The sequence below is a fragment of the Homo sapiens genome, chromosome 22 (assembly GCF_000001405.40).
Source record: "Homo sapiens chromosome 22, GRCh38.p14 Primary Assembly".
Lineage (NCBI taxonomy): Eukaryota > Metazoa > Chordata > Mammalia > Primates > Hominidae > Homo > Homo sapiens.
This window is the reverse complement of record NC_000022.11, coordinates 17,352,004-17,368,609: the sequence shown is the minus strand read 5'-3', so window position 1 is coordinate 17,368,609 and position 16,606 is coordinate 17,352,004. Positions and strand designations below refer to the sequence as shown.

The window sequence follows — 16,606 nt, the reverse complement described above, 5'->3', positions numbered from 1 at the left end:
CGCCCCGGCGGAGGGATTGAATGTGCTACGGCCGAAGGGTGTTGGAGTGTGTGCTTTAGAAATGCTAACTGCTGTAGCGCGGTGGAGTACTGCTAAATCCTAAGAAAAAAAATCACCCCAGAAACAGGCTAGAAGTTTGGAAAAACTCCATTGAATGCTCAGATATTTGTATTGGTCGTCGCACTTGCATCCTGCTGGTCTCAGAGGGCCGCCTCTGAGTTCGGTGGTCCACCTTTCAGATAGGAAACACTGCTCCTGGTGCGTCCCCCAAATTAATCAACTATTTATTGAGTGACAGGCACAATCACAAAGTGTACAAGGGTTAAACTCAAAGATCCTCTTCTACCTTTAAGTAGTGTACAATCTGGAGATAATTTATATGATAGATTTTGGAATGGGCTGTCTGGATAATTACCCCTCCACTCTCCCTCACTTTATTATGATAATAACTTGTTGTATTTTTTAAGGCAGCATTCAGAAACATAATTTTAAATGGTTAGAGTATATTCACGTGCATCTTCTGTGAATCTAGTAATCTCAAAATACATCATCTTCTAACAAGGGTCTCCTCCGCCCCCCACCACTCTCTCCTGGCACAGAAAAACAACCCAAAGTTCTGCTCTTTCATTCCCTGGAACTATTTGATGATTTAAAGTGCATCCTCAAATTCTACCATGCTTTTTATTTAATGTTTGGCAAAAATGAGCTCACATGTGACTGCTCCCAAAAAGCCAAGCCTACGTTTGTGTGTGTTGGTGAAGCACAGCTACCCCGTGAGTATTGCATTAGCAAGGGAGATGGGAGAGGGACACAGGCCACCCCGGAATTGTCACGTAACCTGAACGAGGTGCTTTCTGGACTTGCTTCTCCGTCTTTTATTTCCTCACAGTTTGACTTTGCACACTTTTTCCTCTGTGTGAGTTGGCCGGGCGCGGTGGCTTACGCCTGTAATCCCAGCACTTTGGGAGGCCGAGGCGGGTGGTTCACCTTAGGTCAGGAGTTCGAGACCAGCCTGGCCAACATTGTGAAACCTCGTCTCTACTAAAAATACATAAAATTAGATGGGTGTGGTGGCAGGCGCCCGTAGTCCCAGCTACTCGGGAGACTGAGGCAGGAGAATCGCCTGAACTCGGGAGGCAGAGATTGCAATGAGCCGAGATCTCGCCATTGCACTCCAGCCTGAGCAGTAAGAGTGAGACTCCGTCTCAAAAAATAAAAATTAAAAAAAAAAAGTGTTACTGCGTTTCCCTGCCTTTATCTTTTGTCATCGTTTAAGCTTCTTCCCTCGCCTCTCAGTTGTCACCACTAGCCAGCCTAGTAATATTAGTGCCTAGGATATTAATGACACCAGCAAGCAGAGGGATGAGATGATTTGGCTACCTTTTAGTACGGTAGTGTGTTTAATGTCGTTTACAAACACCACCCCAGCCCCAATTTAAAGGCTGAGCCATTGTCTTCCTGCCTCCTCCGCCTACTGCCAAGCCCCGGAAATCAACAAGACTGTCCGGGAACGGCACGCGCCCCCTGGTGCTGCTCGGAGATCCGCCCTGTCTCTCAGGGCTCCTCCTCCCTTCTGCTGCCCTTTCCTTCTGAGGGTCTTCTCTGTTCTGTGGCCCAGCACACCAACTTTAGACCCATTTCCTCCCACCATTCTCTAACTCTGTTTGTCTCTACAGTTTTTTCCCTAGTTCCTCCACCTACCCTGCTACTCTGGCCTCAACTACCCTCTGGAACGGATCCTGGCCCCAGGAGCTGAGGGGTCTCAAGTGTCTTGGAATCAACAGTAAATCTCAATCTTGAGTTCCCCGAGTTTGGGCTCCAACCAGAGCTTTTCCATTTGGACCTTCTCTGGCCCTGTTAGGATTGATACCCTGAATCTTTGACCCTGCTTTGAACATCTGTGCCACGCCTCCCCTTGGACTTAACTGCCTCGGATCTATTTTCTGGACTAACTTCCAGCCTAACCTCCTAGAATCTAGATTAATGACCCCCTACCAATAGGCTGGCCACTCACCCTTCTTCCCTTCTCCCTTTGATTCGGAGTGCTATTGTACTTCTCCAGCCTGGCCCATTCTTTCACCCTCGAAACACTAGTTGAATCATCTTCCTTAAAAACACACAGTTTGCCGGGGCGGTAGGTGACGCCTGTAATCTCAGCACTTTGGGAGGCCCAGGCAGGCGGATCACGAGGTAAAGAGATCGAGACCATCCTAGCCAACATGGTGAAACTCCGTCTCTGCTAAAAATACAAAAAATTAGCTGGGCGTGGTGGCACGCCCCTGTACTCCCAGCTACTCGGAGGCTGAGGCAGGATGATTGGTTGAACCCGGGAGGCAGAGGTTGCAGTGAGCGGAGATCGTGCCACTGTACTCCAGCCTAGCGACAGAGTGAGACTCAATCTCAAAAAAAGAAAAAAGAAAAAACACAGCTCATATTTTCTTTCCCCTTCTCATTCGTGCTGTTTTCTGTTTGTGAGCCAGTGCCATTAACTTCAGATAGTATTAAAAGTAGCAAGAAGTAATTCTTTCATATTCTCTGACCCTGAGTTCCATAATCCCCTTTGAATCAAATGTTTTCTATTTAAAAATCCCACAATAATTCGTTTGGTTTTTCTGTTTTGCTTATTCATTAATATTGCAAAAATATTTATGTTTCCCATTGCAAAATATGAAGTAATGTTAGCTATGTTGGGATTTATATAGGTTCCTGGAGGATAATCTGGGAAATGAACCACCCTTTTTTTTTTTTTACATAGGGGGTCTCCCTTTGTTGTCCAGGCTGCAGTGGAGTGGTGCAGTCATAGCTCACTGCCACCTTACTGAGCAATCCTCCTGCCTCAGCCTCCCAGATAGCTGGCACTACAGGCCAGGCTAACCACATTTTTTTGTTTGTTTTTGTTTGTTTGTTTGTTTTTCCGAGACAGTCTTGATCTGTCACCCAGGCTGGAGTGCAGTGGTGCCATCTTGGCTCACTGCAAGCTCCGCCTCCCCGGTTCACACCATTTTCCTGCCTCAGCCTCCCGAGTAGCTGGGTGTACAGGCACCCACCACCACGCCTGGCTGATTTTTTTTGTATTTTTAGTAGAGACGGGGTTTCACCGTGTTAGCCAGGCTGGTCTCGATCTCCTGACCTCGTGATCCGCCCACCTTGGCCTCCCAAAGTACTAGGATTACAGGCGTGAGCCACTGAGTCTGGCCTAACCACCTTTTTTATGACATTGTTTCTTTGGGAAATACACTGTTATTTCCAAAGGATTAATTTAAAAATGTGTGCTCTGCTTTATTATTACTGAACCTTGGAAGAGATGAACAAAGGAAAGTGTGGCTTCTTCATAACCGTCGTTAACCAGGACAAGCATCCAAATCTTTTTCTTTTTCCTTTTTTTTAGACAGAGTTTCACTCTTGTTGCCCAGGCTGGAGTGCAGTGGCATGATCTTGGCTCACTGCAACCTCTGCCTCCTGGGTTCAAGCAATTCTCCTGCCTCAGCCTCCCGAGTAGCTAGGTTTACAGGCACGCACCACCACGCCTGGCTAGTTTTGTATTTTTAGTAGAGATAGGGTTTCTTCATGTTGGTCAGGTTGGTCTCAAACTCCCGACCTCAGGTGATCCACCTGCCTCAGCCTCCCAGAGTGCTGGGATTATAGGCGTGAGCCACTGCGCCCAGCCAAGCATCCAAATCTAACTGTTCAGCCAGTTTTCTCTCTTTGGAATCATGCTACTTCTCTCTTCTTCTTCTTCTTATTTTTTGTTTTTTTGTTTGTTTGTTTTGTTTTTTGTTTTTTGAGACGGAATCTCCCTCTGTTGCCGAGGCTGGAGTGCAGTGGTGTGATCTCAGCTCACTGCAACCTCTGCCTTCTGCGTTCAGGCGGTTCTCCTGTCTCAGCCTATAGGTGCGTGGCACCACTCCCAGCTAATTTTTGTATTTTTAGTAGAGATGGCGTTTCACCATATTGGCCAGGCTGGTCTGGAACTCCGAACCTTGTGATCCACCCACCTCGGCCTCCCAAAGTGCTGGGATCACAGCACTTTGTAATCCCAAAGTGAGCAGGGTTACAAGGCGTGAGCCACTGTGCGCTGCCTCTCTCTTCTATTTAAATTGCCCTTTCTCTACCTTTGTTTGCCAACCTGACCTGGATACTTCTTGTTTCAGTGCCAGAATCAAATTGGACCAGGAGAGTGTAGTATAAACATTATGTTAGCACTTTAGTCAACTGTGTATAACTAAGCCCAAGTATGGCACAAATTCTTTTTTTTTTTTTTTTTTTTGAGACAGAGTCTTGCTCTGTCGTCCAGGCTAGAGAGCAGTGGCGTGATCTCAGCTCACTGCAAGCTCCGCCTCCCAGGTTCACGCCATTCTCCTGCCTCAGCCTCCGGAGTAGCTGGGACTACAGGCGCCTGCCACCACACCCAGCTAATTTTTTGTATTTTTAGTAGAGACGGGGTTTCACCGTGTTAGCCAGGATGGTCTAGATCTTCTGACCTCGTGATCTGCCCGCCTCGGCCTCCCAAAGTGCTGGGATTACAGGTATGAGCCACCGCGCCCGGGAGTATGGCACAAATTCTTGACAACCCTTCATGAACAGCTCAGCTTTTCTCATTAAGGAGCTGCATTCCATAACTCCCTATTCCCAAAGAGGGCTATACACCAAGCTAATTTAAAATTTTTAGAAATTAGGCTGGGCATAGTGGTTCACACCTGTAATCCCAACACTTTGAGAGGCTGCAGTGGGTGGATCACTTGAACCCAGGAGTTCAAGACCAGTCTGAGCAACATGGCAAAACTTCATCTTTTCAAAAAATACAAAATTTAGCCAGGCATGTTGGTACACACTGTAGTCCCAGTTACTCCAGATGCTGAGGTGGGAGGATTGCTTGAACCCAAGAGGTGAAGGTTGGAGGGAGCTGAGATCATGCTACTGCACTCCAGCCTGAGCAACAGAGTAAGACCCTGCCTCAAAAATAAATAGGCCAGGTATGGTGGCTCATGCCTGTAATTCCAGCATTTTGGGAGGCCAAGGCAGGCAGATCACCTGAGGTCAGGAGTTCGAGCCCAGCCTGGCCAACATAGTGAAACCCTGTCTTTGCTTAAAATACAAAAATTGGCCTGGCACGGTGGCTCACGCCTGTAATTCCACCACTTTGGGAGGCCAAGGCAGGCGGATCATAAGGTCAGGAGTTCGAGACCAGCCTGGTCTCGATATGGTGAATGTCCGTGTCTACTAAAAATACAAAAAAATTAGCTGGGCATGGTGGTGGGCACCTGTAGTCCTAGCTACTCAGGAGGCTGAGGCAGAATTGCTTGAACCCAGGAGGCGGAGGTTGCAGTGAGCTGTGATCGCGCCACTGCACTCCAGCCTGGCGAAAGCGAGACCCCAACTCAAAAAAAAAAAAATTAGCCAGGTGTGGTAGGGTGCGCCTGTAGTCCCAGCTACTCGGTAAGTCAAGGCAGAAGAATCGCTTGAACCCTGGAGGCAGAGGTTGCAGTGAGCTAAGATGGTGCCGCTGCACTCTAGCCTAGGCAACAGAGCAAGACTCTGTCTCAAAAAAACAAAAAAAAAAAGAAGAAGGAAATGGCTAAAATAGTGGGATGCAAAGGACGTGACACAGGATGGAGACCAGGGTTATCAAAAGGAAATGGAAGGTAAGAGGCACCTAAAGGAAGAAACAACAATTCTTGGACGTATTCTTTTTTTTTTTTTTTTTTTTTGAGACGGAGTTTCGCTCTGTCGCCCAGGCTAGAGTTCAGTGGCACAATCTCGGCTCACTGCAACCTCTGCCTCCCAGGTTCAAGCAATTTTCCTGCCTCAGCCTCCCGAGTAGCTGGGATTACAGGCACCCACTGCTGTGCCCAGCTAATTTTTGTATTTTTCATAGAGACAGGGTTTCACCATCTTGGCCAGGCTGGTCTTGAACTCCTGAACTCATGATCCACCCCTGTTGGCCTCCCAAAGTACTGGGATTACAGGCGTGAGCCACCGAGCCCAGCCAGATATATTCTTAAATCCAATCTATCTAAAATATTATTATTTCAACATGTAATCAACACACACAAAAAAAATGAACTAAAAAATTATTTTTTCATGCCAAGTCTTTGAAATCTGGTGTATACTATATTGTATATTTACAGGACATCTCGGTTGGGACTAGTTACATTTTGCAGTTCAATTCACCACTGTGGTTAGTGGCTACTGTATTGGGCAGTGCTGGTCTATAGTAACCTAAATAATCAGTACTCACTTGGCCCCTCTAAATTATTGATTCTTGGGGCTGGACATGGTGGCTCATGCCTGTAATCCTAGCACTTTCGGAGGCCGAGGCAGGTGGATCACCTGAGGTGGGGAGTTTGAGACCAGCCTGGCCAACATGGTGAAACCTCATCTTTACTGAAAATACAAAAATTAGCCAGGTGTGGTGGCGGTGTGCCTGTAATCCCAGCTACTTGGGAGGCTGAGGCACGATAATTGCTTGAACTCTGGAGACAGAGGTTGCAGTGAGCTGAGATTGTGCCACTGCACTCCAGCCTGGGCGACAGAGAGGGACTCTGTCACTAAAAAATAAATAAATAAAATAAATGATCAGTTATTGGCTTTTAAAGACTCCAGGCGAGGATTCCCTAACCACTATGGCCTACTGCAGTGTCTCCCAACTCACCCCTTCCACCTCTTTCTCTAACTAAATCACAGCTCTTCCACTGAGAAGAGCCTATAGGGCTGCTATGCTTCTGTTTTCTCCCTGCCCCCTTAGAGCAGTCTACAAATAATTGATCATAATAAATGCTTGTGGAATAGATGTGTAGTACATTACTAATCTTTAGCATTCACAGAAAACACCAGTCACTCTCTCTCTCTTTTTTTTTTTTTTAATTTGAGATAGAGTCTTGCTCTTTTGCCCAGGCTGGAGTGAAGTGGCTCAATCTCGGCTCACTGCAACCTCCCCCCAGCCCCCGGGTTCAAGTGATTCTCCTGCCTCAGCCTCCCGAGTAGCTAGAATTATGGGTGCCCGCCACCATGCCCGGCTAATTTTTATATTTTTAGCAGATTATACTTTGTAAAGTGTCAACACCCTTGCTATTACTATGTAACCTAGGTTGTTTTTTTTTTGGGTGGGGGGTGTTGTTTGTTTTTTGTTTTGTTTGAGATGGACTCTCACTCTGTCGTCCAGGCTGGAGTGCAATGGTGCACTGCAACGTCCGCCTCCAGGGTTCAAACAGTTCTCCTGCCTCAGCCTCCTGAGTAGCTGAGATTACAGGTGTCCGCCACCAGCCCGGCTAATTTTTGTATTTTTAGCAGAGATGGGGTTTTGCCATGTTGGCCAGGCTGGTCTCAAACTCCTGACCTCAATGATATGCCCACCTCGGCCTCCCAAAATGCTGGGATTATAGACGTGAGCCACTGCACCTGGCCTGTTCTTTTGTTTTGTTTTGCTTTGTTTTGTTTTGCTTTGTTTGAGACAGGGTCTCCCTCTGGCACCGAGGCTGGAGAGCAGGGGCACAATCTCAGCTCACTGCAACCTCCACCTCGTGGGCTCAAGTGATCCTCTCACCTCAGCCTGCCAAGTAGCTGGGACCACATGCACACACCACGATGCCTGGCTAATTTTTTTATTTTTTGTAGAGATGGGGTTTCACCATGTTGCCCAGACTCATCTTGAATTCCTGGGCTAAAGCAATCTACCCGCCTCAGCCTCCCAAAGTGCTGGGATTATAGGCATGAGCCACTGTACCTAGCCTAGTGGGTTTTTTGTTTGTTTGTTTGTTTGTTTGTTTGAGACAGGGTCTCACTTTATTGCCCAGGCTGGAGTGCAATGGCAGATCTTGGCTCATGGCAACCTCCACCTCCTGGGTTCAAGTGATTCTTCTGCCTCAGCCTCCCTCATAGCTGGGATTACAGGCACATGTCACCATGCTTGGACTAATTTTTTTTTTTTTTTTCCGAGATGGAGTCTAGCTTTGTTGCCCAGGCTGGAGTGCAATGGCACAATCTTGGTTCACTGCAACCTCTGCCTTCCAGGTTAAAGTGATTCTCCTGTCTTAGCCTCCTGAGTAGCTGGGATTACGAGCCACCATGCTTGGCTAAATTTTTGTATTTTTAGTAGATACGGGGTTTCACCATATTGGTCAGGCTGGTCTCGAACTCCTGACCTGAACTGATCTGCCGGCCTCGGCCTCTCAAAGTGCTGGGATTATAGGCGTGAGCCACTTCACCCGGCCTAGTGTTTTGTTTTGTTTGTTTTTCAAATGGTGTCTCACGATGTTGTACAAGCTGGAGTACAGTGGTTATTCAGAGAAGCAATCATAGCTTGCTGTGTCCTTGAATTCCTCGGGCACAAGGGATCCTCCGGTAACAGCATCCCAAGTAGATGGGACTGCAGACGTGCCACTGCACCCAGCTCTGCGTAACTAATCACCGCATTTTAAGATTATGTTTAAGCCTTTCATGTATACTTGATTTTCTATTTCCACTTAGTTTCTCCACTTTTCAGTGATTTCCATAATCCTTTTTGGGATTGTTTCCTGATCCTGATTTTTCCCTTGTATTGTTATCAGGCTTTTGGTTTCTATTTTCATATCACCAAGTTCCACATACCTCTTCATTTCACATGGCGTCAAGCTGAGTACTATATAAGTGAAACCACACAGGCATTTGTTCATCCTTTTTCCTTTAAGGCCAACAGCACTGCCCTGGCATCTAGGGCAAACATGGGCTGTAAAGGAACAAAGGGTAAGTCATAAGGAATTCAACAAAATTTTCCTTTATCGTGTCACAGATGCTATCTGAGCTCATCTTCAGGTCTCCTTCCTGTTGCACAGCCTCCCAGCTTCTGTCCTGCTCTCCCTCCAAGCTGCCATGGACCCTGTGGTTCTTACACTCTATTACTTCCCCTTCCATGGGAGGTTTGTCAGCGTTGAATGTTCTGTGAAGCAAGTTTGAAAAGTGATTCACTGCGGGGAGGTTCCAAAAAGATTGACAGGCCACCAGCTGGGAAAGAAGATAACAGAGACTACTGGAGAGAGAAAATGGCAGAAAGTTTTTTGTTTTTTGTTTTTTTTAAAAAAGCATGTTGGGAAAAGTAGCCAGTCACTATAAGAATTCACCATGGATGGGACGTGGTGGCTCACGCCTGTAATCCCAGCACTTTGGGAGGCCGAGGCAGGTGGATCCCTTGAGTCCAGGAGTTCAAGACCAGCCTGGCCAACATGGTGAAACCCAGTCTCTGCTAAAAATACGAAAATTTGCCGGGCATGGTGCTGCGTGCCTGTAATCCCAGCTGTGCAGGAGGCTGAGGTGGGAGGATCACCTGAGCCCAGGAGGCCAAGGCTACAGTGAGCCATGATTACCGCGCTGCACTCTAGCCTGGGGACAGAGCCAGACCCTATCTAAAAAAAAAAAAAAGAAAAGAAAAAAAAAGATGGCTCCCACCTGTAATCCTAGCACACACTTTGGGAGGCCTAGGCAGGTAGATCCCTTGGGCTCAGGAGGTCATGACCAGCCTGGCCAACATGGGGAGACCCCATCTAAAAAAAAAAAAAAAAGAAAAGAAAGAAGGAAAAACAAAAAGAAAAAAGAAAAGATCATTCACTGCGAATAGAGAATCTGTCAGAAATTATTTGGCTAATCACACTGTGCTCTGTATCAATGTCCTCCCATTTCTAGAAATTTCTATAAGCATTTTTCCAGTTAATTACCTTTCCTAAAGCCCAGGTTGAAGTGGAAACATGCCTAACGTACTGTGGCTCTTCTTTCTACCTGGCCACAGCACTCTCAGCACTCCTTAGAACAGAGACTTTCATTACTGTGGATTTGTGGGGCTTGCAAGCCTCAACGTCCTTCCCTGGTGCTTTAGTAACAGCTGCAAGGCTGCCTGAGACCAAGCCTACGTGAGCAGCTCTCTTTATTTTGGCCCTTAAGATTGGTAATTTGTTATTGCCGTGAAACCCAAGTGTCAAGCTTGAAAGCCTCCTGACCCTGGTTGAGAAAGAAGTTCAGCCCGGAGAAAGGAGGCTGCTGCTTTCTGGAGTATTGCTTCTGTGCTCTGGCTCAAGCCAGCCTGCATCAGAGCTGGGGGCTGTATCCTAACAAATATGTTTTCACAGCCGGGCGCAGTGGCTCATGCCTGTAATCTCAGCACTTTGGGAGGCCGGGAACAGCGGATCACCTGAGGTCGGGAGTTGGAGACCAGCCTGACCAACATGGAGAAAACCTGTCTCTGCTAAAAATACAAAATTAGCTGGGCGTGGTGGTGCATGCCTGTAATCCCAGCTACTCCGGAGTCTGAGGCAGGAGAATCGCTTGAACCCAGGAGGCGGAGGTTGTGGTGAGCCGAGATCACGCCATTGCACTCCAGCATGGGGAACAAGAGTGAAAACCTGTCTCAAAAAAAAAACCAAAAAACAAAAAACTAAAAAACAAAAACAAAAAACAAATATGTTCTCACACTACACGCAGCCATGGAGGAAATTAGTACAAATGTTAGTTCACTCAGTACCCAGTGGTGGGAATAAAATGGGGCTGAGGGAGTCCTTTCTACCGTGGGCATCCACTTTGATTCAGGACCAAAGTCCTCACCAGATTTTATGTCCTGCTGAAGGGCTTTTGTTCAATTCTAGTCTAAAAACTCTAAGAATCAGCTCTCTTGCTGCTCCTGGGTTGCTTAGTCCCTGTTCATGCTGCTCTGTTCCAGAATTCCTCTTTGAATTCCTGGAGTGTCCAGCTCTGGCCTATCTCATTGTGGCATCTTCCCTTGTGCTTGACACCAGGTCAAACAGCTTTGTAGCATCTCAATTCTCAGTGCCATTCAGAAGGTGGTGAATCTTAATGCGTTCTTCCTTAATCTCTTTTCAAAAGGGCTACAATCCAAATTTCTCTTTCTTTTTAATTATTTTAGGTCCTTGTGTCATTCCTTTGGCCTCCAACCATCCCTACTCAGTTTAAAGGTCGCATTATTTTGGTGGACAAAGTGCCCAGGGTTGTACACATCTGGACTCAAACTCTTTAGCTGGGCCTGAGTTATTTCTTCAGTTCATTTCATTCAACATGGAAATACACATTTGGGTAGAAAATTGAGTCTCTGGTCTCAGGGAGTTTTTAATGCAATTGGTAAAATAGTAAGATTGTCTGTGTAGTATAGACTATAAGTATACTACATAGTGTTAAAGTTATAAAGTGTTAGAAATAATCTAGTCAATTGCTCCTTTTAGAGGAAGGAACTCAAAGAAGAAAATTTTTAGTGTGAGCTAGAATGTTTGGGAAATGCTTCATGAGGAAGACGGGGCTTGAATTGGTGAGAAACACAGTTAGCTATCTTTATCCAGGATATAAAAACTTCAATAAAATTGTAGGCTGAGTGCAGTGCAGTGGCTCACGCCTATAATCCCAGCACTTTGGGAGGCCGAGGCGGGCGGATCACGAGGTCAGGAGTTCGAGACCACCCTGGCCAATATGGTGAAATCCTGTCTCTACTAAAAATACGAAAAGTAGCTGGGTGTGGTGTTGGGTGCCTGTAGTCCCAGCTACTCGGGAGGCTGAGGCAGGAGAATCGTTTGAACCCAAGAGGCAGAGGTTGCAGTGAGCACAGATCACACCATTGCACTCTAGCCTGGGCCACAGGGCGAGACTCCATCTCAAAAATAAATAAATAAATAAATAAAGATTTTATTAAATTCAAAAGCAATTAGTTTAGAAATAATTTTTAAACTTAAAGTGATATTTAGGCTGGGTGCAGTGGCTCACGCCTGTAATCCCAGAACTTTGGGAGGCTGAAGAGGGCAGATTACTTGAGGTCTGAAGTTTGAGACCAGCCTGGTCAATATGGTGAAACCCTGTCTCTACTAAAAATACAAAAATTAGCTGGGCATGGTGGCATGTGCTTGTAATCCCAGCTACGTGGGAGGCTGAGGCAGGAGAATTGCTTGAACCCGGAAGGTGGAGGTTGCAGTGAGCCAAGACTGTGCCACTGCACTCCAGCCTGAGCAACAGAGCGAGACTCCATCTCAGAAAAATAATAAAAATAATGAAGTGATATGTAGTAGAGAAGGCAATATAGTGAAAAGGCAAGAGCAGTCTTGTAGGATTCATTCAAAAGATCTGGCATTCTAGGCTCGCTGTGGTGGCTCATGCCTGTAATCCCAGCACTTTGGGAGACCAAGGTGAAAGGATCACTTGGGGTCAGGAGTTCAAGACCAGCCTGTCCAACATGGCAAAACCCCGTCTCTACTAAAAGTACAAAAAAATTAACTGGGCATGGTGGCACGTGTCTGTAGTCCCAGCTACTCCGGAAGGTGAGGCATGAGAATCATTTGAACCCAGGAGGTGGAGGTTGCAGTGAACCAAGATCATGCCACTGCACTCCTCTAGCCTGATCAACAGAGCGAGAGTCTGTCTCAAAAAACAAACGAAAAATCTGCGGGCCGGGCACAGTGGCTGTCACCTGTAATCTCAACACTTTAGGAGGCCAAGATGGGAGGATCGCTTGAGGCCAGGAGTTTGAGACCAGCCTGGTCAACATAGCGAGACCCCAGCGACCCCATCTCTATCTTTACTTTTTTTATTTTATTTTATTTTATTTTATTTTATTTTATTTTATTTTATTTTGAGATGGAGTCTTGCTCTGTTGCCCAGGCTGGAGTGTAGTGGTGCGATTTTGGCTCACTGCCACCTCCGCCTCCCGTGTTCAAGCGGTTCTCCTGCCTCAGCCTCCCAAGTAGCTGGGATTACAGGCACCTGCCACCACACCCGGCTAATTTTTGTATTTTTAGTAGAGATGGGGTTTCATCATCTTGGCCAGGATTGTCATGAACTCCTGACCTCATGATCCACCCGCCTCGGCCTCCCAAAGTGATGGGATTACAGGCGTGAGCCACCACGCCTGGCCACTTTTTTTATTTTTATTTATTTATTTATTTATTTTTGAGACGGAGTCTCGCTCTGTTGCCCAGGCGGGACTGTGGACTGCAGTGGCGCAATCTCGGCTCACTGCAAGCTCCGCTTCCCAGGTTCACGCCATTCTCCTGCCTCAGCCTCCCGAGTAGCTGGGACTACAGGCGCCCGCCACCGCGCCTGGCTAATTTTTTGTATTTTTAGTAGAGACGGGGTTTCACCTTGTTAGCCAGGATGGTCTCGATCTCCTGACCTCATGATCCACCCGCCTCGGCCTCCCAAAGTGCTGGGATTACAGGCGTGAGCCACCGCGCCCGGCCCTTTTTTTATTTTTTATGTTTATTTTTGGAGACAGAGTTTCACTCTTGTTGCTGGAGAGCAATGCAGTCTCGGCTCACTGCAACCTCTGCCTCCCAGGTTCAATTGATTCTCCTGCCTCAGCCTCCCGAGTAGCTGGAATTACAGGCATGCACCACCACACTAGGCTAATTTTTGTATTATTAGTAGAGACGGGATTTCACCGTCTTGACCAGGCTGGTCTCAAACTCCTGACCTCAGGTGATCCACTCCTTGGCCTCCCAAAGTCCTGAGACTACAGGCATGAGCCACTGCGTCCCGCCTATCTTTTTAATTTTTTTTTGAGATGGAGTCTCACTCTGTCACCCAGGCTGGAGTGCAATGGCATGATTTCCGCTCACTGCATCCTCCGCCTCCCGGGTTCAAGCAATTCTCCTGCCTCAGCCTCCTGAGTAGCTGGGATTATAGGCGCCTACCACACGGCCGGCTAATTCGGCTTATTTTTGTGTTTTTAGTGGAGAATTACTTGAACCCAGGAGGCAGAGGTTGCACTGAGTGGTGCCACTGCACTCTAACCTGGGCTTAGAGAGTGAGACTCCGTCTCAAAAAAAAAAAAAATAAAAAGAGGAACATGGAAATTAACTTCCCTTGCTTTTAACTTAAGATGAGGAGTAAATAATTATATAGCCTAAAGCTACCTGCACCAATTACAGTAAAAACTATTTGTCTTATTTATTACAATACACAAAGTCCTAGTCTGTATAAGCTATACTCATTATTTTACCCCAAAAAGAAAAAATTTGGTCAGGCCCGGTGGCTCACGCCTGTAATCTCAGCACTTTGGGAGGCTGAGGTGGGCAGATCACTTGAGGCCAGGAGTTTGAGACCAGCCTGGCCAACATGGTGAAATCCTGTCTCTACTAAAAATACAAAAAGTAGCCGGCATGGTGGCGTGCACCTGTAATCCCAGCTACTCAGGAGGTTGAAGCAGGAGAATCATTGAACCCAGGAGGCAGAGGTTGCAGTGAGATCACACAACTGCACTCCAATGGGGGTGAGAGAGTGAGACTCTGTCTCACAAAAAATAAAAATAAAAAAAAAGAAGGAAAGAAAAAAATTTTCCTTTTTATGAATACAACTGTGGGATTGACATTGTTTTCCAATTTGATTTCCCCAATCATATTTTTCCCCATATTTTGGGGAATAATAATATGAATAATAATTTTCATATTATTCCCCCATAAATATTTACTAAACAGTTACTATGTTTTAAGCATTGTTGTAAGAGTTGAAGACCTAGAAATTCCTATGAACTTCAAATCTATTATGTGTATACTTTCATTATTTTTAAAGTTAATCAGGTTTCCCTATCACCTTCTATCTTCATTAACGACAACTGAAGCAGAGTCTGTGAGATTCTTGTCTTTGCGTGGCTGAAAAACTAAAAGGTTTTTGGACATTTAGTAGGAAGAGACCTGTTGGTGAAAAAGGAAAAGGATGGGGGGCACCCTGTGACAACTGTGGTTATTCTTGCATAGAGATGGATATGATTATGCTGTTAGGTTTAATCATGCTAAAAAACATGGCATTCCTGGTAAATCGCAGTCAGTCCAGAAGACAGCTTCTGACGTGCCCTCCTAAACCACAGAAACATTAGCTAATGTGTGATGACCTCTAAAAACATTCTGGCTGCGCTGGGCGCGGTGGCTCACGCCTGTAATCCCAGCACTTTGGGAGGCCGAGGTGGGCAGATCACGAGGTCAGGAGATCGGGACCATCCTGGCTAACACGGTGAAACCCCATCTCTACTAAAAATACAAAAATTTAGCCGGGTGTGGTGGCAGACGCCTGTAATCCCAGCTACTCGGGAGGCTGAGGCAGGAGAATGGCATGAACCCGGGAGGCAGAGCTGGCAGTGAGCCGAGATCGCGCCACTGCACTCTAGCCTGGGTGACAGAGCGAGACTCCATCTCAAAAAAAAAAAAAAATTCTGGCTGCACACACCAACATGGAACACGTATACATATGTAACAAACCTGCACGTTGTGCGCTTGTACCCTGGAACTTAAAAGTATAATTAAAAAAATCAAAAAACAAAACAAAACGACAACAACAACAAAAATATTCTGGCTGCAGTGGCTCATGTCTATAATCTCAGCACTTTGGGAGGCCGAGGCAGGAGGATTGATTGAGCCCAGGGTTTCAAGAACAGCCTGAGCAAAATAGTGAGACCCTGTCTCTACGGAAAAAAAAAACATAGCCAGGTGTGATAGTACATGCCTGCGGCCTCAGCTACATGGGGGGCTGAGGCGGGAGGATCAGTTTAGCTTGGGAGTTCTGGGCTATAGTTCACTATGCCAACTGGGTATTCACACTAGGTTCAACATCAGTATGGTGACCTCCTGGGAGCAGAGAACCAGGAGGTTGCCCAACGAGGGGTGAATGGGTTCAGGTCAGAAACAGAAGAGTCAAAGGTCCTATGCTGATCAGCAATGGCATTCTGCCTGTGAATAGCCACTGCACTCTGCCTGGGCAACATAGCAAGACCTCATCTCTAAAAAGTAGTAAATAAATAAATAAAAATAAAAACACTCTGATCTAATGGCCCATCCCTGCCAGACTAAATAACAGGAGTTAGCAAGCTTCTTAATTAATGGTAGAAAAGACAAATCTCCAGAAACAATCTATTGCAAAGGTTGGGAACTGTGGAAATGTCTCTAATAGTTACAGGCCCCAAATTAGTCCCCTGGCCTTGTGAGCGCATCTCATGTGCCCATTTGAAACTCAACTGCAATCAAATTTCCTGGCTAAAGGCTGGATGGTGAAGTGTAAAAAATAGTGTCTTCACCTTAAAATTCATAACAAATGGCACAGAGTAGCATTTCTTTTTTTTTTTTTTTTGAGACGGAGTCTCACTTTGTCACCCAGACTGGAGTGCAGTGGCGTGATCTCGCCTCACTGCAACCTCTGCCCCTGGGTTCAAGCGACTCTCATTCTCAGCCTCCTGAGTAGCTGGGATTACAGGCGCACACCACCATGCCTGGCTAATTTTTGTATTTTCAGTAGAGACAGGGTTTCACCATGTTAGTCAGACTGGTCTCAAACTCCTGACCTCGTGATCCACCCGCCTCGGCCTCCCAAAGTGTTGGGATTACAGGTGTAAGCCACCAAGTCCGGCCCAGAGTAGCATTTCTTGTTGGCGGTTGGGACTGAGGCCAAAATGGAGATGACAGAACCATCAAAGTGGGGGGAGTTCTGGGGGGATGGTCAGTGATTGGTCAACAGTGGTTGAAGAATGAAAGATTGTATATAGGCCAGGCAGTGGCTCACGCCTATGATCCCAGCACTTTGGGAGGTCGAGGTGGGTGGATCATTTGAGGTCAGGAGTTCAAGACCAGCCTGGCCAACGTGGTGAAACCACGTCTCTACTAGA

At 46.5% G+C, this 16,606-nt stretch overlaps 1 protein-coding gene and 1 pseudogene across 1 annotated transcript in view; one reads left to right on the top strand and one right to left on the bottom strand.

Moving 5' to 3' along the window:
- Window positions 1–8,661, bottom strand: part of CECR2 (CECR2 histone acetyl-lysine reader) — a 198,203-nt gene extending 189,542 nt beyond the window's left edge. Inside the window, exon 1 of the mRNA NM_001290046.2 lies at window positions 8,587–8,661. The gene's annotated coding sequence lies outside the window, so the exon portion shown is untranslated. The remainder of the gene's footprint in view (window positions 1–8,586) is intronic.
- Window positions 15,433–15,729, top strand: RN7SL843P (RNA, 7SL, cytoplasmic 843, pseudogene; annotated as a pseudogene).